At 52.3% G+C, this 18985-nt stretch overlaps 1 protein-coding gene across 1 annotated transcript, besides 1 other annotated feature; it reads left to right on the forward strand.

The window, feature by feature from the left end:
* Positions 10 to 319: a silencer, noted in NCBI's record as "silent region_11276". NCBI's record gives its function as "represses an Ori minimal core promoter by ATAC-STARR-seq in GM12878 lymphoblastoid cells {active_cell/tissue: GM12878}" and the evidence as "EXISTENCE:reporter gene assay evidence [ECO:0000049][PMID:35858748]".
* On the forward strand, positions 143 to 17090 carry SLC35F6 (solute carrier family 35 member F6). The gene is made up of 6 exons (NM_017877.4): positions 143 to 285; positions 10110 to 10182; positions 10903 to 11074; positions 11323 to 11535; positions 12231 to 12341; positions 13901 to 17090. Exons 1-6 carry the CDS (start codon positions 209 to 211, stop codon positions 14368 to 14370), a joined length of 1116 nt encoding a protein of 371 aa, NP_060347.2. The 5' UTR covers positions 143 to 208; the 3' UTR covers positions 14371 to 17090.
* The last annotated feature ends 1895 nt before the right edge of the window (positions 17091 to 18985 follow it).

Below are 18985 nucleotides of genomic sequence, written 5' to 3' on the forward strand. Positions count from 1 at the left end.
GGCCGTGATTTGCCAGGGCCACGGCGTGGCCACCAAAGCGCTCCAGGACGACTCGGCAGAGCGCGGGCACCGTGGCTCAGGCGCGCTCCCCGGGGGCGGGGCGAGCAGGAGGGGTCACGTGACGCCCGGCCCGGAAGCGCTCGCGCAGGAGACCCCGGGTGACGGGGCCCGGCGCCGCTAACTGGAGCGAACCCCAGCGTCCGCCGACATGGCCTGGACCAAGTACCAGCTGTTCCTGGCCGGGCTCATGCTTGTTACCGGCTCCATCAACACGCTCTCGGCAAAGTGAGTCTGGGCCCTGCCGGGCGTGCGGGCCCTGGCGACCCCGGCGCTCGTTCTACGCCTTCCCCCTTCTTGGCCCTGCCCTCCTGGCTTCCCCTGCTTTCCCACTTGCTCCGGTCAGTTCGCGCGCGTTATGACCACCCAAGGGATGCGAGGCCCGGGGAAATGCGGAGCGGGGCTGCGCCCCGGACGGGGGGATCCGAGCCCCGGCTTTGATTTGCTGTACAGCCTCCGCTCCTGTTTCCACGTCTTTTAACAGGAGGGTTGGCCGATTCCTTTCCACGGCCCTTCCAGTGCTGGCGTCCAAGCCTGAGCACCTCCCTCCACGAGCTGGGAGAGACCCCTGGACTTGTGCACATGAGCCGCAGTAGTGGCTGTGCAGGCCGAGTGACCCAGTGAGCGTGGAGGCCTCAAGCGGCAGACAGGGAGGTGCCCCACGGCCCCTCAAGGATGAGGGGTTAGAGCTGTGCTTTGAAGCTTAGGTGGGATTTCGGAATGTGTCTGAGACTGTAAGTCAAGGAAAGTCTACGGAAAGGCCAGATCAAAGTCGATTGTAACCAGCATCAAATGCCCAGGTTAGATTTTCTCTCATAATCAGAAAAGTGCTTTTGAGCTGGGGAATGACATGTTGAAAGTGATATGATTGACTCAATGACATGAGGAGTGGTTTGGTGCAGGAAAAACCACTCCAAGGCTGCTGCATAGCAGATGAGGGGAACTAGGAGGTGGCAGTGAGAAGAGAAAGGAAGGGACAACTGGTGGCAGAGACCAGGTGTGAATGGCCACAGGCCTGACCCACATGAGCAAGAAACAAGGATCACTCCAGGGTTTCTGCCTGGGAGAAGAAAAGTGCCATTAACTCAGACAGAGAGGGCAAGTGGCCAGTTCAGCTCTGATGTATGGGGGTGAGAGGGGGGACAGTTCCCAGGAGGTTAGGGACTAAGGACCCAGGCAGTCATGAGACTGAGGGACAGGGCCTAGCCTCCCCTCTGTTGTGGGCAGGATGGCATTTCTTTGTCTCTCTCTGTCTCCATCTCAGGGCAGGGCCTTCCTGCCCCTCCTTTTCTTGTTGCCCAGGCTGGAGTGCAATGGCACGATCCCATGTATAAGGTACCTACGGTGTGTAAGGGAAGGGGACAGAAGTGACCAAGAGGCGATCTCTGCCTTTGAGATGCTTGGAATCTGAGGTGGAGGAGACAGACGTGTACGCACACGACAGTCACAGTGTTCTCCCTTCCCCAAACGGTGGGCACAGTCAGTGGAGTCCTGGGTGGGCCCCACCTGTTCCTCTGGTTCACCTCTGGCCAACTGTGCCTTGTGGAGAACTACTAGCTTCCCAGGCCCTGCATCCTCCTGAGGATCACTCCTCATGCTGAATCCTTAGCTGTTCAGAGGCCCCAGCCTGAGGGCTCCCATCTCAGGATCTGAACACAGCAAAGCAAGTCTTCTGTTCTGTCATGCCAGCCAGGGCCTCTGTCAAGTGCTTAGAGAGCGGTTGTAAGTCCACCAGGGCTGCTGCCCACAAGGAGAATCCAGATTGCCAGTTACTGCTGGGGTAAACTGTGCTGATTCACCTCCTTCCTTAGAAAACTCCAAACCAGTCAGGTAGGAAGCTTAGAGATCCTCAATCCCAGAAGGCGTCGCCTTTAAAGGCTGCCTGAGAGTCAGGAAAGAGGCTCCCAGGTGACAGACCCAACTTTTGGTCCTGTCCCCTGCCTGACAGCTGGTGTGGGGCCTCTCAGGATCCTCCCACCCCAAGATGGGCCCCCAAATTGGACCCTAAACAGTGTTCTAAGGTCAAACCACAAGAAGGGATACTCTTAGGGAGAAAGAACATGTGGGAGCAGCTGCATGCACCCCGATGTGAAGTATGGATTTGAAATCACATTTCTGGCCCGGCGCGGTGGCTTACGCCTGTCATCCCAGCACTTTGGGAGGCAGAAGCGGCTGGATCACTTGAGGTCAGGAGTTTGAAACCAGCCTGACCAATATGGTGAAACTGCATCTCTACTAAAAATACAAAAATTAGCTGGGCGTGGTAGTGCGCACCTGTAGTCCCAGCTACTTGGGAGGCTGAGACAGGAGAATTGCTTGAACCCGGGAGGCGGAGGTTGCAATGAGCCAAGATTGCACCACTGCCCTCCAACCTGGGTGACAGAGTGAGACTCGGTCTCAAAAAAAAAAATAAAAGGAAATCACATTTTTGACCCACGATTTCCAGCAGGCACAGACAGACAAGCATGTGCTGACAACTAGCAGAAGCATCTCATGCACAAAGAGCACCTCGCATGCCCCAGGCCCTGCTCTGCCCTTTCATGTGTGAACTCAGGGAATTCTCATAACCACCCTATCAGGCAAAGACAGGGGCTGATATTCCTGTATAAGGAAACTGAGGTAGGAAATGATTAAATTCCTTGCCCAAGTTCAACTTAGCTACTAAGTGGCAGAGTTTATAGTTGAGCCAGCATGGTCTGGCTCTAGCATCCATGCTCTTAACCACCACTGGAGGGTGTGGCTGGGGACTTCTCCAGTCATTTTGGGGTCATTTAGAGTTGTTAAAAGCATAGAAATCATCCAGTCTAATCCCCACAATTTACAAAGGAGGCCTCAGGAGAAGTTTCTTTCTGTGATTCAACTGTTTGGTGTCTGAATGAAGGCTGGAACCCAGGCCTCAGGACTTTAAGTCCTGTTCTTTTATGACTGTGATACCCCAGAGTCCCTCCTTCCTGGGAGTTTCCTCTCACAGCTCCCCAGGCCAGGACAGAGAAGCCTGTGCTTGTGGAAGTTGTAAACCTGTAAGTGGCATCTGCGCTCCCAGCCTTTGATGTGCCTCTCTCCAGGACTGGGCTGCCAGCCTCTCAGCCAGCCCAGAGACACTGCTGACAGGGTCCTCCCGCTGGAGTCCAGGCCACTCAAGGTTCAGACTGACAGCCTGTGGTTGTCTCTGGCAGTTTCTTGGCCTGTGACAAGAGTGATGTTTCCCTTCCCAGGTTCTTGGGAGGATGAAAGGCAGTGGATGAGGAAGCACATCTGAGCACGTGCTGCCTGCTGTGCTGGGGCGGCAGGTCAGCTTTCCTCTCTGCGGCCCCATCCCTGGGTCCTGGCAGGGGGCCCCTCCCTGTGAAGTGGCTTCTTCTTTCCCTGGCTGTTTTCTCAAAACCTCCTCACTAGCACCTTCTGTCGATCATCTTCTTTAGGCCAAGCCATTTCTGTCTACGTGAGCCAGTGCCCCATCCACAGGTACTCATTTCAGAACCCCAGTCTCCTGAATCCAACTGAGGTTCTACATATGAAGAGCCGGGGTCAGCTGGGCACTGTGGCTCCAGCTTGTAATCCCAGACTGGAGGCTGAGGTGGGATGATCATTTGAGCCCAGGAGTTCAAGATCAGCCTGGACAACATAGGGAGACCTCGTTCTCTACAAATAATAATAATAAATAATTAATTAATAGAGCCAGGGTCAAGTAGATGCTCACTAAGTAAGGCTCAGCTCCCCTCCTAAGTTCTGCAGGCTGTAGGGCCCTCCCAGCCAGGCAGGGATATGAGCCTGACTTCCTTTCATGCCCAGGCCAGGGACCCTGCCAAGAAGGTGGCAGGAAGCCTGGAAACCACTAGGCCTCTACTAGAGAAGAGGTGTTTGCTCTTCTTCTGTGTCCTTTCTGTGCCAGCTCCAATGTTTGCCCTTGGCAGCTGCCCCACCACCCTTGGGTTCCATGAACTGGCATGGGATAATTGCTTCAAAGGGGTTGTTGGGCCAGCTTGTGGAAGCCTTAACTCAGGAGGACAGTGTAGTAGAGTGGGAAGTTCATGAGGCTTGGGACCTGAGGAATAGATGAGCCACTGGACCTCTGTGAGCCTCAGTTTTCTCATCTGTAAAATGGACTTGGTGATCCCTGCCGTACCTTCTTCCTGGACACTGAAGATCTACTGAGGAAGGTTTCCTTTTTTTTTTTTTTTTGAGACGGAGTCTGGCTCTGTCATCCAGGCTGGAGTGCAGTGGTGTGATCTCAGCTCACTGCAAGCTCCGCCTCCCGGGTGAACGCATTCTCATGCCTCAGCCTCCTGAGTAACTGGGACTACAGGTGCCTGCCACCATGCCCGGATAATTTTTTTGTATTTTTTTAGTAGAGACAGGGTTTCATTGTGTTAGCCAGGATGGTCTCGATCTCCTGACCTCGCCCATCTCGGCCTCCCAAAGTGCTGGGATTACAGGCATGAGCCACTGTGCCCAGCCTTTTTTTTTTTTTTTTTTAAGACACGGTCTCTCTCTGTTGCCCAGGCTGGAGTGCAATGGTGCCATCTAGGCTCACTGCAACCTTGAGCCATCCTCCCACCTCAGCCTCCCAAGTAGATGGGACCACAGACACCCGCCACCGTGCCCACCTAATTTTTGTATTTTTTGTAGAGACAGCGTCTTGCCATGTTTCCTAGGCTGGTCTCAAACTCCTGGGCTCAAGCAATCCACCTGCCTCAGCCTCCCAAAGTGTTGGGATTACAGGCATGCACCACCACACCCAGCTTAAGGAAAGTTTTCCATTCCATGGAGATGAGAGGGCTCACCATTGTCACCTCAGGAGCCAGGGCCACCTGCTGTGGCACCCCAGAGAGTGGAGAAGCCTTGGCCCTTCTGTAGGTCCCAGGCAGGAGAAAGAAGGGGACTCACTGGGCTTGACAAGCTGGGGACACAAGAGGAAGTGGCAGAGATTCTGTGGGAATGGCCACAGCTAATCTGCCCAAGCCAGCCCCATCGCCACTTCCTCAGTCTGTTTTCGCCACCCCCGTTCACGTGGACGTGCACACCTCCCAGAATGCTGAGCTTTGAGTTTGGGCCTGGCCATGCTAGGGAGTGACTCACCACCCAGCACGGAGAGCCTACTCCCCAGCCTGCCCGCCAAAAGGAGCGGCCTCAGCTTGTCCCCGCTAGGACCCTTCGGGCCTCCTGCCCTGGAGGTCATCTCCCCTAGAATACAGTGTCTGTGGAGAAGACAGGCCCACCTACTGGGCTGCCCCTCTCCTCCCACCAGCTAGGGGAGCAAGAACTCAGAGGAGAGCTTCAGAGCATCAGGGAGGGGGCGCATGACTGCCTGCTGAGCTTCCAGTGTACTGGCCCTGTTTCAACATCTGAGGAGCCGTGAGCCCCTCGAGCCCTCTCTGGCCCCTGGGTTCCTGTCTGTCAAATAAGGAGTTCAGCTGATGGCTGAGTTTCTTCTGTTTCAGCATTTTGGCTCTGTGAACTGCAGGGACAATAGCCTGAGGTCCCTCCAGCCACCTCTGCCTCAGCCAGCAGGACAGGTTCCAGACGTTTTTCCAGTAGCTTTCAGGCTGAAGGGGAGCTGGGGCCACGCTGAACCCAAGGGGGAGATGGCTTCTGCTCAGTGAAGGGAAAGGAGAAGGGGCAGAAAATGAGTTTTGCTGAATACCTGCCATGTGCCAGGTCATGTATATATCCTTATATCATGTATTGCTTCTGACAGTTTGTCAGTGTTGGTATGATTACCCTGTAACTTGTCCAGCCTGTGGGACTCAAAACTCTGGGTTTTCTCTGTATTCTGCCTTTTCTGAGTATAAATTCAAGCAAGGTTTAACCCTGGATCTGCCTTAAGCCTCAGAGTCCCCATCTAAAATGAGGATCCTTGTTGTAAGGCTTAACGGGACAGTCCCCATGAAGTGTCCTATGAATTGTGCATTTAAGGAAACATGGGCTGGGTGCAGTGGCTCACACCTGTAATCCCAGCACTTCGGGAGGCTGAGGCAGGTCAATCTCTTGAGGCCAGGAGTTCGAGACTAGCCTGGGCAGCATAAACAAGGCTGCATCTTTGCAAAAAATACAAAAATTAGCCGGGCATGGTGGCCCATGCCTGTAGTCCCAGCTACTCAGGAGGCTGAGGTGAGAGGATCATATGAGCCTTGGGAGGCTGAGGCTGTAGTGAGCCGTGATTGTGCCACTGCACTCCAGCCTCAGTGACAGAGTAATACCCTGTCTGAAAAACAAAACAAAAAAACAAACGTTGTTGGCCGGACGCAGAGGCTTATACCTGTAATCCGATCACTTTGGGAGATTGATACGGGTGGATCACTTGAGGTCAGGAGTTCGAGACCATCCTGGCCAACATGGTGAAACTCCGTCTCTACAAAAAATATAAAAATTAGCTGGGCATGGTGGTGGGTGCCCGTAATCCCAGCTACTTGGGAGGTTAAGGCAGGAGAATCACTTGAACCTGGAAAGCAGAGGTTGCAGTGAGCCAAGATCGCGCTGCTACACTCCAGCCTGGGTGACAGAGGGAGGCTCCGTTTCAAAAAAAAAAACAAGAACAAAAACAAAAGACAACAAACAACAAACGTTGTGAAGAACTGACAGCAAAGTGCTGCCCACCTTAGGGGTCACTGCTGTCATCCCCAGGCAAACTGGGGCTGGATTTTTGTTCTAGCCTGTGAGGCTGGGGTCTTTTCTGATTCTGCGCCAGGAGTCGAAACCTGTCTCCAATCCAGGATGAGAAGCCTGGCTTTCTGCCCCAAGGTACCTGCAGGCCTGAGCATCTCAGGCTGGGCAAGGCAGCCCATGCTGCTGACACCCAATCCCTTGGGCTGTCAGCCTGCCCCAGGCCCTCAGATACAAAGAGATACCATTTCCCCAGCCGGGAGCGCTGCCAGCCAGGCCTGTCTAGGCAGACCTACCCGTGGAGAAAGCGAAGACAACCCCTGTGGGAGGTGGGGAGCTCAGCACCAGCCCTACAGTCAGCTCCCCAAGAAGCGCCCCAGCCTTGGGGAAGGACAGGCCCCGAGGGGTTTCCCCTATGGACCAACTTGTTCTACCAGCAGGGGGCCCTCAGACTCAGGTGGGAAGTAGGACTCATGGAAATGTGGCCTCAGCTTCCATACCTGCCCCCTACAGACAAAAATAATAATAAAATAAATAATAATCCTTGCCTGAAGCTTCTGATCAACCTTCATGGCCTGGCAATAGCTCCCTTGTCCCTCCTAGAGGAAACTTGGCTCCTGGCCTGGGGATTCCCATCTCTCTGACTTCACTTGCTCTGGGCAGTTGGCTCTGTGCCCTTGGTAAGGCTTGACCTCTTCTCTCTTCCTTGCTTTGCCTCTGTTTCACTCAGTTGCCTCATGCAGGCCTTCTCAGGGGGCTCTTTCTGCAAAAGCAAGACTGGGTTCGAGAGCAGCCCTGCTGGGTCTGTGGCCCTTACCCATGTTCCATGTCCTGTCCTGGCCAGGGATCCAAGAGCCAACAGCATATCAGGCAGAAATTAGGCACCATGGGTGCAGTGGCTCATGCCTATAATCTCAGCAACTCAGGAGGCTGAGGCGGGAGGATTGCTTGAGCCCAGGAGTTCAAGACCAGCCATGGCAACATAGTGAGACCCTCTCTCTAAAAAAAAAAAGAGAAAGAAGTGAGACTCCAGCCCATGAGGTCAGGTGTTTCCTGACCTGGGGTGGAGGCTTCCCCAGCTCCCAGACTCCCTGTTCCATAGCAGGCGCTTTCTTTGCCCCACTGGTACTGGTTACAGCCTGGTCCCCAAGCCATGCCAGGCTCCAGGTTTCTCTCTGCCTTCTAAACAGTTCTGTCCGAACTTCTCCCTTCAACTCTCCTTTGCCCCTGCCATTCCCAAGAACCACAAGGAATCTTAACTACCCCTCTTTCTCCACATCTCCAGGAGCTGGTGGGGTCTCTCACTATGGAATAGGTTTGCCATAGCCCTGTTTTCTTCCGCAAACTCAGAGGCATATAGAGAAGCCAAAGCTGGACAGGGACTTTGTCAAACCTAGACCCTAACTGCGGCACAACCAGTGGCACATGCTCTGGGTGCTGCGGGGGAGGTACAGGAACCAGAGGACTCCCCCGCCCTTTGGGAGCTGAGGCTCGCTACAGAGATGAGCCAATGGCAGTGCAGGGCTGTGCACTGCAATCTGACTGCCCTGGAAAGACATTTCAAGGAAAGGCATTTAATAAAAAGAAGTCCCGAGTCTTGCACTTTAAAGACATCCACTGCCTATGCAGGATATGCTGCAGTGGGAGCAGGTCGGTGGCCCACAGGAAACGGCTCTGGGACTGTGTTGACTTCAGTCAGCACATGATGTTACTGATGCATTTGGAGCTGTGTCAACGAACCCAGGGTGTCAACATGAGGGAGGGCCACGCCTTGCTAGCCTCAGTCTGGGCCAGATCACATGCTCTTGGCTCTGGGCCTGGGTACACCAGAGTACTTCCAGAAGTCAGTGGCCAGGGGTGAAAGGTTAGGAGAGGCTGGAGCTGTTTAGCCAGGAGATGAGAAGATTCAGAAGAAGGTCAACAAGTCCCCAGGTACCTAAAGGGCTTTCAAATGAAAGATTAGACAAGATTCCACAGACCTAACCAAGCCCAGCAAAGACGAAATTCAAGACAGAGAATTTTCATGCACAGATGGCAGACAGTTCAGAGTGATTGGTGGTTAAGCTGCCCAAAGCACTATGCCACAAAGGATTCTGGGCTTGTGTCTAGGCTCATCGGGGAAGTATGTCATAATCAGTCATCACCATCTGCCGGGTGCTGACTGGGAGGTCATGCCATGAGTGTGATGTCTTTGCCACCTGCTTGAAAGTCAGCATTAGAAAGATCTTCCAAACCATTCAGGCTTTTTGAAGGTGAGCAGGTGGTCTGTATTAAGTCATTTCCCAGGACCCAAATACTCCTGTAGACCAGAGGTTCTTGATATTTTTCATGCCATGGGACTCTTTGACAGTCTGGCACAGCCTATGGACCTCTTCTTACAGTAATGTTTTAAAACGTGTAAATAAGACCAAGGATTGGGCCAGGCACGGTGGCTCACGCCTGTAATTCCAGCACGTTGGGAGGCTGAGGAGGGTGGTTCACAAGGTCAGGAGATTGAGACCATCCTGGCTAACACGGTGAAACACCGTCTCTACTAAAAATACAAAAAAAAATTAGCCAGGCGTGGTGTCGGGCGCCTGTAGTCCCAGCTGCTCAGGAGGCTGAGGCAGGAGAATGGCGTGAACCCGGGAGACGGAGCTTGCAGTGAGCCGAGATCTTGCCACTGCACTCCAGCCTGGGCGACAGAGCGAGACTCCATTAAGAAAAAAAAAAAAAAAAGACCAAGGATTACAAAAGAAGTCAATTAAATTGAAATACAGTTATCAAACACTTAAAAAAGCAAATTCGTGATATAGAATATATATAGATATGCTTTTTTTTTTTTTTTCTGAGACAGGATCTTGCTCCATCACCTAGGCTGGAGTGCAGTGGTGCAATATCGGCTCACTGCAGCCTCTGTCCCCCAGGTTCAAGTGAGTCTCATGCCTCAGCCTCCTGAGTAGCTGGGATTACAGGCTTGTACCACCACGCCCGGCTAATTTTTGTATTTTTAGTAGAGACGGGGTTTCACCATGTTGGCCAGGCGGTCTCGAACTCCAGACGTCAAGTGATCCACCCACCTCAGCCTCCCAAAGTGTCGGGATTACAGGCGTGAGCCACTGCGCCCAGCTATATAGAAATGCTTTCTACTACATTGTTATAAGTGGGTCTGACTACTGTAATGTTCATGAGTGATGAGTGTAAATGATACCTCACGATATATACAATGACTGTAATGTGATCATGAGAGTATCTGTGATTTCTGTGCATTACAGAGGCACAGACACAGTGACTTGAGGAAATGCCAAGTTAAAACTCCTTGAGGTGAAGACTGACCCCTTTGAGAGGGAGCCCCACTCTGGGGCCGGGTCACCCAGGTCTGGGCCTCTTGACATTGAGAGGTGTGAGCCTCTTCACTAGCACCAGGGTAGGATGCTGACAGGGTCTGACCTTCCCTCTCTCTCCTACAGATGGGCGGACAATTTCATGGCCGAGGGCTGTGGAGGGAGCAAGGAGCACAGCTTCCAGCATCCCTTCCTCCAGGTATCTGGCCCTGTCCCTCCTACCTCCTGTCTCCCGGGCCTCAGACCAGGCGCCACCCCCGGCCATGAGGCCAGGCTGTTTCCTGACTTAGGAGTGGAGGTGTCTCCTGCTCCCAGAAGAGCCATCCACTTCTCTCTTTCCCTCCCCAGAGCAGAATCCAAGGTTTAGAATAGGGCAAAGAGCACCATCCTCTGCGAAAGTCCTGGCAAGTGGTCATGTCCTCACCACATCCAAGTCAGGACACGTGGAAAACATCAGCCCTAGTGACAAAAGTCAGCTCTCTATCCACTGGGAGCCCAGACCCCAATTGGGACAGGGCAGACACCATAAATGGAAGACACTGTTCGTTGAACTGAGAATCAGGAGACTCAAATGTCAGCCCCAGCTCTACCAGCAACTTGCTTTGTGGCCTTACATAAGTCTTTGAGCCTCTCTTGGGTCTAGGCTTCTCCACCTGCGATTTGACTAGGGGTTGGCCTAGATGGATGGTTTTCAGACAGGGCTCTGCACAGCCTTAGGGTTCATCAGGATGTATGGGGGCTTTGGGGCAGACCTAGGAGGCTGTCTCTAGCCTCCATGGCAGCTCTGCATTTGTCTATTTTACATATTGGGGTTCTGGGTAAGCTCTTGTTTGACAAAAGTTTGCATTAAAAAAAATAGTTAAAGATGATCCCCGAGATCCCTTCCAGCTCTGAAGTCCTCGGGTTTTCATCCCTGCAGGCAGTGGGCATGTTCCTGGGAGAATTCTCCTGCCTGGCTGCCTTCTACCTCCTCCGATGCAGAGCTGCAGGGCAATCAGACTCCAGCGTAGACCCCCAGCAGCCCTTCAACCCTCTTCTTTTCCTGCCCCCAGCGCTCTGTGACATGACAGGGACCAGCCTCATGTATGTGGGTGAGTAACCAGGCCAGGCTGAGAAGGGCTCAGGGGAAGCTGTGGCTGAAGGGGCTACTGGTGAAACAGCCCTATCCCACCCACCTCCACTTCATCCCACCATTCCCCCAGACTTCACACGCACAGGCACACAGGCAGGACTGATCGAGCGCTTACTATGAGCTTGGCATGTCTATCACCAAAGACCCCTTAGTGACAGATGGCCTTCGCCTTGGGAAGCTAACTGTAATTTGTTTCTCCTTTCCTAGCTCTGAACATGACCAGTGCCTCCAGCTTCCAGATGCTGCGGGGTGCAGTGATCATATTCACTGGCCTGTTCTCGGTGGCCTTCCTGGGCCGGAGGCTGGTGCTGAGCCAGTGGCTGGGCATCCTAGCCACCATCGCGGGGCTGGTGGTCGTGGGCCTGGCTGACCTCCTGAGCAAGCACGACAGTCAGCACAAGCTCAGCGAAGTGATCACAGGTGCGGCCAGGGGCAGGGACACGGGGCTGCCCTATCCTGCCCTGTCCTCCTTGGGAGCCCAGCACAGACTCATACAAGCTCTGCCATGTGCCATATACCAAGCCCTGGGTGAGGTGGGTAGCTCTGGAGGTGATGGATAGAATGTAGGGAAGACTGCAAAGGGATGTGGCTCCACCAAGGATGAGTGGCAGGCCGGGCAGGGCGAGGGGCTGGCTTGTCCTTTGATACAGATGCAGACATGCAAACTACTGGATTTGGGAGTGGAAAGGAACAGGTGCTTACCAAGTGCCCAGCCTGGTGCTGAGCACTGTGTGTTCATCATCACAGTGACTCCCACAGGCCCCAAACGGATGCATCACAGCCCATTTTACAATGAAATGACTGTCCTGGGTCACTTAGGGTCAGGATCAACCAAGAAATGTCTATCTCAAAGCCTGTTGCTTCTTGAAAGACCTGCGTCATACCCCGTGGGGCAGCTCTTAGACACAGGCAGGCCTCTGGGGCCTTAGCCTGGCACTGCTGGCATGCCCCTCAGGAACCAGGGAATCAGGGACAGGCAGTGGTGACTGTGCCTATGAACTATAGGGGGCCCTGCAGAGGTCAGGGGCTGGCATGTTTGGTCGCTGTGGCCATGCTCTCCTGGCCCCCAGCCCCAGTGCAGCCCTGTTCTCATCTGGGTCCCTCCTTCCCCACAGGGGACCTGTTGATCATCATGGCCCAGATCATCGTTGCCATCCAGATGGTGCTAGAGGAGAAGTTCGTCTACAAACACAATGTGCACCCACTGCGGGCAGTTGGCACTGAGGGTGTGTGTGGGCACAGGGGCCTGGAAGGAGTGGGGTAGAAGGGAGCCTGGGGAGCTGAGCACAGGACAAGGTGCCAGGGTTCACTTGTGGGGGGTGAACTTCCTGCCCCGCCTTGCCTTCCAGATGTGTTTTGACAAGTCTTCTGACACCTGCTGTGTCAGGAACTAGAGGAGACCAAGGACAGAGATGAATGAGATGCAAGCCCTTCAGAGGAGGTGACCAGCAGGAAGAAAGGGCAGTCAGTGAATTCAAGTTTGGACCACTTGTGCTCAACTGATGTCTCATTGGCCATGCCTATCTGAGTCTCTCAGGGCAGGGAGGGTGGCATTCGAGCTGCAAATTTCAACAGGCAGTAGTAGGAGCAGCTCCAAACAGAGCAAAGGCACAGGGGACTGGATGTGAATTTGAAAACCAGTGAGGAATAATTTTGAGTGTGGCCAGGTGCGGTGGCTCATACCTGTAATCCCAGCACTTTTGAGAGACCAAAGCGGGTGGATCACTTGAGGTCAGGAGTTTGAAACCAGCCTGCCCAACATGGCAAAACCGTCTCTACAAAAAATACAAAAATTAGCTGGGCGTGGTGGCGCATGCCTGTAGTCCCAGCTACTCAGGAGACTGAGACAGGAGAATCGCCTGAACTGGGGGAGCAGAGGCTGCAGCAAGCCGAGATTGCGCCACCGCACTCCAGCCTGGGCAACAGAACGAGACTCCATCTCAAAAAATAATAATTTGAGTGCAGTATAGGTTTGATGTTGGGGAAATAATCAGGAATTAAGTAGGTCAGGGTCATGTCATTAGAGAACTTTACCATCAGGCAAGTAGATTTAGACTTTAAATGACGGAGGAATCACTGAAAGTTTTTGAGCAGGGAAGTAAGTATCAAAATTATGAGATTAGCAAGATACAGCTGCGCTTTCAAAGAATGTCCTGGGGGCTAGTGCCTGTTGGGGAGCAGCTCTTGTCTGGCCCCCGGTGAGCTAAGGGACTTAGGCAGAATGTGAATTAGCTATATCACTGAGCATGCAGTCTATTTCCACTCATTTCTGTTTTCTAGCAAGACCTTAATGAGTGAAGCAGTGCATGGACTTACCTTCTGGCGCAAGCTCCTTGTCACAGACCAGTAACACACTGAACTAGAAAGCTGTGTTTTTCCAAACTTGTGAAAATAATGTAGTCAGTTGCAGCTGGCAGTTCTTTTTTTAAATGAATAGAATTTTTAAATATCAGAGCATTGTATACTGTAAGGGTAATGTTTTTATGAGTGTGTGTGTGTGTGTGTGTCCATGAACCTGTGCACACGTGTACTGGGTCACAATATAAAATGTATTTCTTACTCTTGATCCAGTCAAAAAAACCCTGAGTAAAAGTGGAGAAGGGACAGCTAGAACCCATCTAATAGGCCACAAGCTCCTGATGAGAGACTGAGGGACGTGAAAGGAGGGAGCTGGCATGAGGACCACTGGGAGGGAATGACCCGAGATCAGAGGAGGCTAAGCCGGTGGGCTGTGCTGGGGGTCTGGGGGAAGGTGGAGAGTGTAACTGTTTCCTCTACTCCCCAGGCCTCTTTGGCTTTGTGATCCTCTCCCTGCTGCTGGTGCCCATGTACTACATCCCCGCCGGCTCCTTCAGCGGAAACCCTCGTGGGACACTGGAGGATGCATTGGACGCCTTCTGCCAGGTGGGCCAGCAGCCGCTCATTGCCGTGGCACTGCTGGGCAACATCAGCAGCATTGCCTTCTTCAACTTCGCAGGCATCAGCGTCACCAAGGAACTGAGCGCCACCACCCGCATGGTGTTGGACAGCTTGCGCACCGTTGTCATCTGGGCACTGAGCCTGGCACTGGGCTGGGAGGCCTTCCATGCACTGCAGATCCTTGGCTTCCTCATACTCCTTATAGGCACTGCCCTCTACAATGGGCTACACCGTCCGCTGCTGGGCCGCCTGTCCAGGGGCCGGCCCCTGGCAGAGGAGAGCGAGCAGGAGAGACTGCTGGGTGGCACCCGCACTCCCATCAATGATGCCAGCTGAGGTTCCCTGGAGGCTTCTACTGCCACCCGGGTGCTCCTTCTCCCTGAGACTGAGGCCACACAGGCTGGTGGGCCCCGAATGCCCTATCCCCAAGGCCTCACCCTGTCCCCTCCCTGCAGAACCCCCAGGGCAGCTGCTGCCACAGAAGATAACAACACCCAAGTCCTCTTTTTCTCACTACCACCTGCAGGGTGGTGTTACCCAGCCCCCACAAGCCTGAGTGCAGTGGCAGACCTCAGCTCTCTGGACCCCTCCTACAGCACTAGAGCTAAATCATGAAGTTGAATTGTAGGAATTTACCACCGTAGTGTATCTGAATCATAAACTAGATTATCATAGTTATCTAGTTTATGAGTCATAAGCTAGATTTGATTCTTCAAAGAAGAAAAGTCAGTGAGCAAATTTAAACCAGAACTAAGCATTATATTTTCTTTTTTTTTTTTTGAGACAGAGTCTCGCTCTGTCGCCCAGGCTGGAGTGCAGTGGCACGATCTCGGCGGCTCACTACAACCTCTGCCTCCCAGGTTCAAATGATTCTCCTGCCTCAGCCTCCCGAGTAGCTGGGATTACAGGTGCATAACACACCTGGGTAACTTTTATAGAGATGGGGTTTCACCATGTTGGCCAGGCTGGTCTCAAACTCCTGACCTCAGGTGATCTGCCTGCCTCGGCCTCCCAAAGTGCTGGGATTACAGGCGTGAGACACCACACCCAGCCATAACTAAGCATTATGTTTTCTAAAACTTCTAAGATCCTCCCTAAACCCGTCTGGAGACATGGGTTTTAGCCCAGACTCTGCCTCAAACTCATTGTAGCTCCCAGCACATTACCCAGTTGCTCTGGGCCTTGGTGTTATGCTCTGGGAAGTAGATGTTGATGCTGTGGCCTTAGTGCCTTCTGGCCCCAGCATTCCATGGGCCTGTGATCTTGACCAACCTGAGAAAACAGTAACAGCCCATCCACTGGAAATACCCCTCTGCCCACAGCACCACCCTTCTGTGCTGTTTTTTTTGTTGTTTGTTTGTTTCTTCTTTTTGAGACAGAGTCTTGCTCTGTTGCCACGCTGGAGTGCAGTGGTGTGATCTCGGCTCACTGCAACCTCCCGCTCCCAGGTTCAAGCAAGTCCCCTGAGTAGCTGGGACTACAGGCGTGTGCCACCACATCCGGCTAATTTTTTGCATTCTTTAATAGAGACGGGGTTTTGCCATGTTGGCCAGGATGGTCTCAATCTCCTGACCTCATGATCCACCTGCCTCAGCCTCCCAAAGTGCTGGGGTTACAGGCATGAGCCACCACGCCCAGCCTTTTTTTTTTTTTTTTTTTTTTCTTGAGAGACAGGGTCTTGCTCTGTCACCCAGGCACAGCTTACTGCAGCCTTGAACTCCTGGGATCAATCAGTCCTCCTGCCTCAGCCTCCCGAGTAGCTAAGACTAACAGGTATGTACCACCATGCCTGGTTTATTGTTTTATTTTTTTGGCAGAGATGGGTCTCACTGTGTTGCCCAGGCTGATCTCAAACTCCTGGCCTCAAGCGATCCTCCCATCTCAGCCTCCCAAAGTGCTGGGATTACAGACCTGAGCCACCACACCTGGGCAACAGAGTGAAACCTGTCCCTGTTTTCCTGCTCTTACTCTCACCTCTGAGGCCTCCTCTGCCTGGAAGAGATTACAGGGAAATTCCAGGCAGCCCTTGTCAATTGTTTTTATGAATTCTTTACCTGTTCCTTTTAAAGACAAGGAAACTGAGGCCCAAAGTTCTAAGTTGTTTGGCAAATGGAGTCTCCTACCCTCAGCTCCTGCAAGGACCTGGGGGACCCCCAGGTCCAGCAGCCACATGATTCTGCAGCAGACAGGGACCTAGAGCACATCTGGATCTCAGCCCCACCCCTGGCAACCTGCCTGCCTAGAGAACTCCCAAGATGACAGACTAAGTAGGATTCTGCCATTTAGAATAATTCTGGTATCCTGGGCGTTGCGTTAAGTTGCTTAACTTTCATTCTGTCTTACGATAGTCTTCAGAGGTGGGAACAGATGAAGAAACCATGCCCCAGAGAAGGTTAAGTGACTTCCTCTTTATGGAGCCAGTGTTCCAACCTAGGTTTGCCTGATACCAGACCTGTGGCCCCACCTCCCATGCAGGTCTCTGTGGGGTCTTTGGGATGGATCTCCTAGGGCTGGGCTGGAAGCCTCATGTACTGTTGTCTTCTAGGTAACCACCCTGAAGAGAAGGGGTGGCATCAGGAACCGCAGGGAACCAAGCAGCCTTTGGTCCAGTGCTGCTCCTTGGAACAGTTGAGTGTGGCCTCAAACCATTCTCCTGGGTAGCTCAGTCATAAAACACCGAATGCCTGCCTCAAAATAGCCTCTGAGGGAAGGGAGCTGTTGACAAGTGAAGCCCTCAGGTTGTGTGGGATTCCAGCAGGTTATTACAGCTTGTGGGGGGAGGGAGGGTCCATTCCACCAGCTTTGAATCCCAGGGTCCCCTCAGCTTCACTGGGCCACAGTGTCTGTCCCAGGAAGAAGCAAATGGACAGTGAGGATGATGGAGAGACTACAGCTGCCTTGTCTAAAACCTGGGATCTTAAAAGTGTTATTTTGGCTTTTATTTTTTAAAAAAAGAAAAGGAAAATTGGCAATTGTATTAATCCATTCTCGAATTGCTGTAAAGAAATACCTGAGACTGGGTAATTTAATTTATAAAGAAAAGAGGTTTAATTGGCTCACAGTTCTGCAGGCTATACAGGAAGCATAGTAGCTTCTGCTTCTGGGGAGGCCTCAGGAAACTTACAATCATAGTGGAAAGGCAAAGGGGAAGCAGACACATCTTATGTGGCCAGAGTAGGAGCAAGGGGGCGCAGGAGGAGGTGCCACACACGTTTTAAACACCCAGATCTCACAAGAACACTCAAGAGGACAGTACCAAGTGGAATGCTGTTAAACCATTCATGAGAAATGCACCCCCATGATCCAGTCACCTCCCACTAGGCCCCACCTCCAAGATTGGGGATTACATTTCAATATGAGATTTGGGTGGGGACACACATCCAAACTATATCAGCAGTACTGGACATTTTTCATGAGAGAGAAGGGGCACAAGAGGATGTCTGGAGCTAGCCTCTAGAATGTTGGTGTGGAAAATCTCTCCAATGTTTGAAAAGCATACCAATTACCTAGTCCTCCATTCATTGTTCAAATGAAGAAACCCAAAAAGCAGAAGTAACTTCCCAAGGGTCACACAGTCAGTTAACAGGCAAAAGCCAGATGTCCTGGTTCTCAATCCTCGCCTGTCCCATTCTGCCACAGATACTGCAGCCAGAGGCCAGGCATGGTGGCTCACGCCTGTAATCCCAGCACTTTGGGAGGCCGAGGTGGGTGGTTCACCTGAGGTCAGAAGTTCGAGACCAGCCTGGCCAGCATGGCAAAACCCTGTCTCTAGTAAACATACAAAAATTAGCTGGGCATGGTGGCACAAGCCTGTAATCTCAGCTACTCAGGAGGCTGAGGCAGGAGAATCACTTGAACCCGGGAGGCAGAGTTTGCAGTGAGCCAAGATCACGCCACTGCACTCCAGCCTGGGCAACAGTGAGACTCAGTCTCAAAAAAGAAAAAAAAGCTTAAAAATAAAGATATAAACCGGGTGCGGTGGCTCACGCCTGTAATCCCAGCACTTTGGGAGGCTGAGGTGGGTGGATCACGAGGTCAGGAGATCGAGACCATCCTGGCTAACACGGTGAAACCCCGTCTCTACTAAAAGTACAAAAAATTAGCCGGGCATGGTGGCGGGGGCCTGTAGTCCCAGCTACTTGGGAGGCTGAGGCAGGAGAATGGTGTGAACCTGGGAGGCGGAGCTTGCAGTGAGCCGAGATCGGGCCACTGCACTCTAGCCTGGGCGACAGAGTGAGACTCCGTCTCAAAAAAAAAAAAAAAAAAAAAAAGATATAAAGAAAAAATGTTTTTGTATACTTGCAGTGTGTGTTTTAAGCTAAGTGTTATTACAAGAGTCAAATTTTACAGTTCAAAAGCTTATAAAGTTAAAACGTTACCATTAAGCTAAGATTAATTTATTATTGAAGAAGGAAAATTTTTCTTTTTAGAGACAGAGTCTTGATCTGTTGCTGTCACTGGGGTGCAGTGGCATGATCCTATCTCACTGTAGCCTTAAACTCCTGGGCTCAAGTGATCCTCCTGCCTCAGCCTCCCGAGTAGCTGGCACTACAGGCATGCACCACCGTGCCCAGCTAATTGTTTTTATTTCCTGCGGAGATGGGGTCTCACCACGTTGCCCAGACTGATCTCGAACTACTGGGCTCAAACAATGCTCCTGCCTTGGCCTTCCAAAATTTTAGGATTACAGGGGTGAGCCAGTGTACCCAGCCCATTTTTTATACTGTTTTTTTACTGTGCCTTTTCTAGGTTACATATGTTAGATACACAAATACCATTGCATTACAGTTGCCTACAGTATTCAGTACAGGAACATGCTGCACAGGTTTGTCGCCTAGGAGCAATAGGCTATACCATATAGCCAAGGTGTGTGATACACTATACCATCCAGGTTTGTGTAAGTACACTTTATGATTGCACAATGACAAAATCGTCTAACAACACATTTCGC

Source organism: Homo sapiens, chromosome 2 (genome assembly GCF_000001405.40).
Source record: "Homo sapiens chromosome 2, GRCh38.p14 Primary Assembly".
Lineage (NCBI taxonomy): Eukaryota > Metazoa > Chordata > Mammalia > Primates > Hominidae > Homo > Homo sapiens.

What these genes read in the sequence shown, in the direction of transcription:
- SLC35F6 (NM_017877.4), top strand. Translation starts at nt 209, where the DNA reads ATGGCCTGGACCAAGTACCAGCTGTTCCTGGCCGGGCTCATGCTTGTT. An exon ending in GACCAGCCTCATGTATGTGG is followed by an intron (nt 11,075 to 11,322) that starts GTGAGTAACCAG and finishes CTCCTTTCCTAG; the next exon opens with CTCTGAACATGACCAGTGCC. An exon ending in GCTCAGCGAAGTGATCACAG is followed by an intron (nt 11,536 to 12,230) that starts GTGCGGCCAGGG and finishes CCTTCCCCACAG; the next exon opens with GGGACCTGTTGATCATCATG.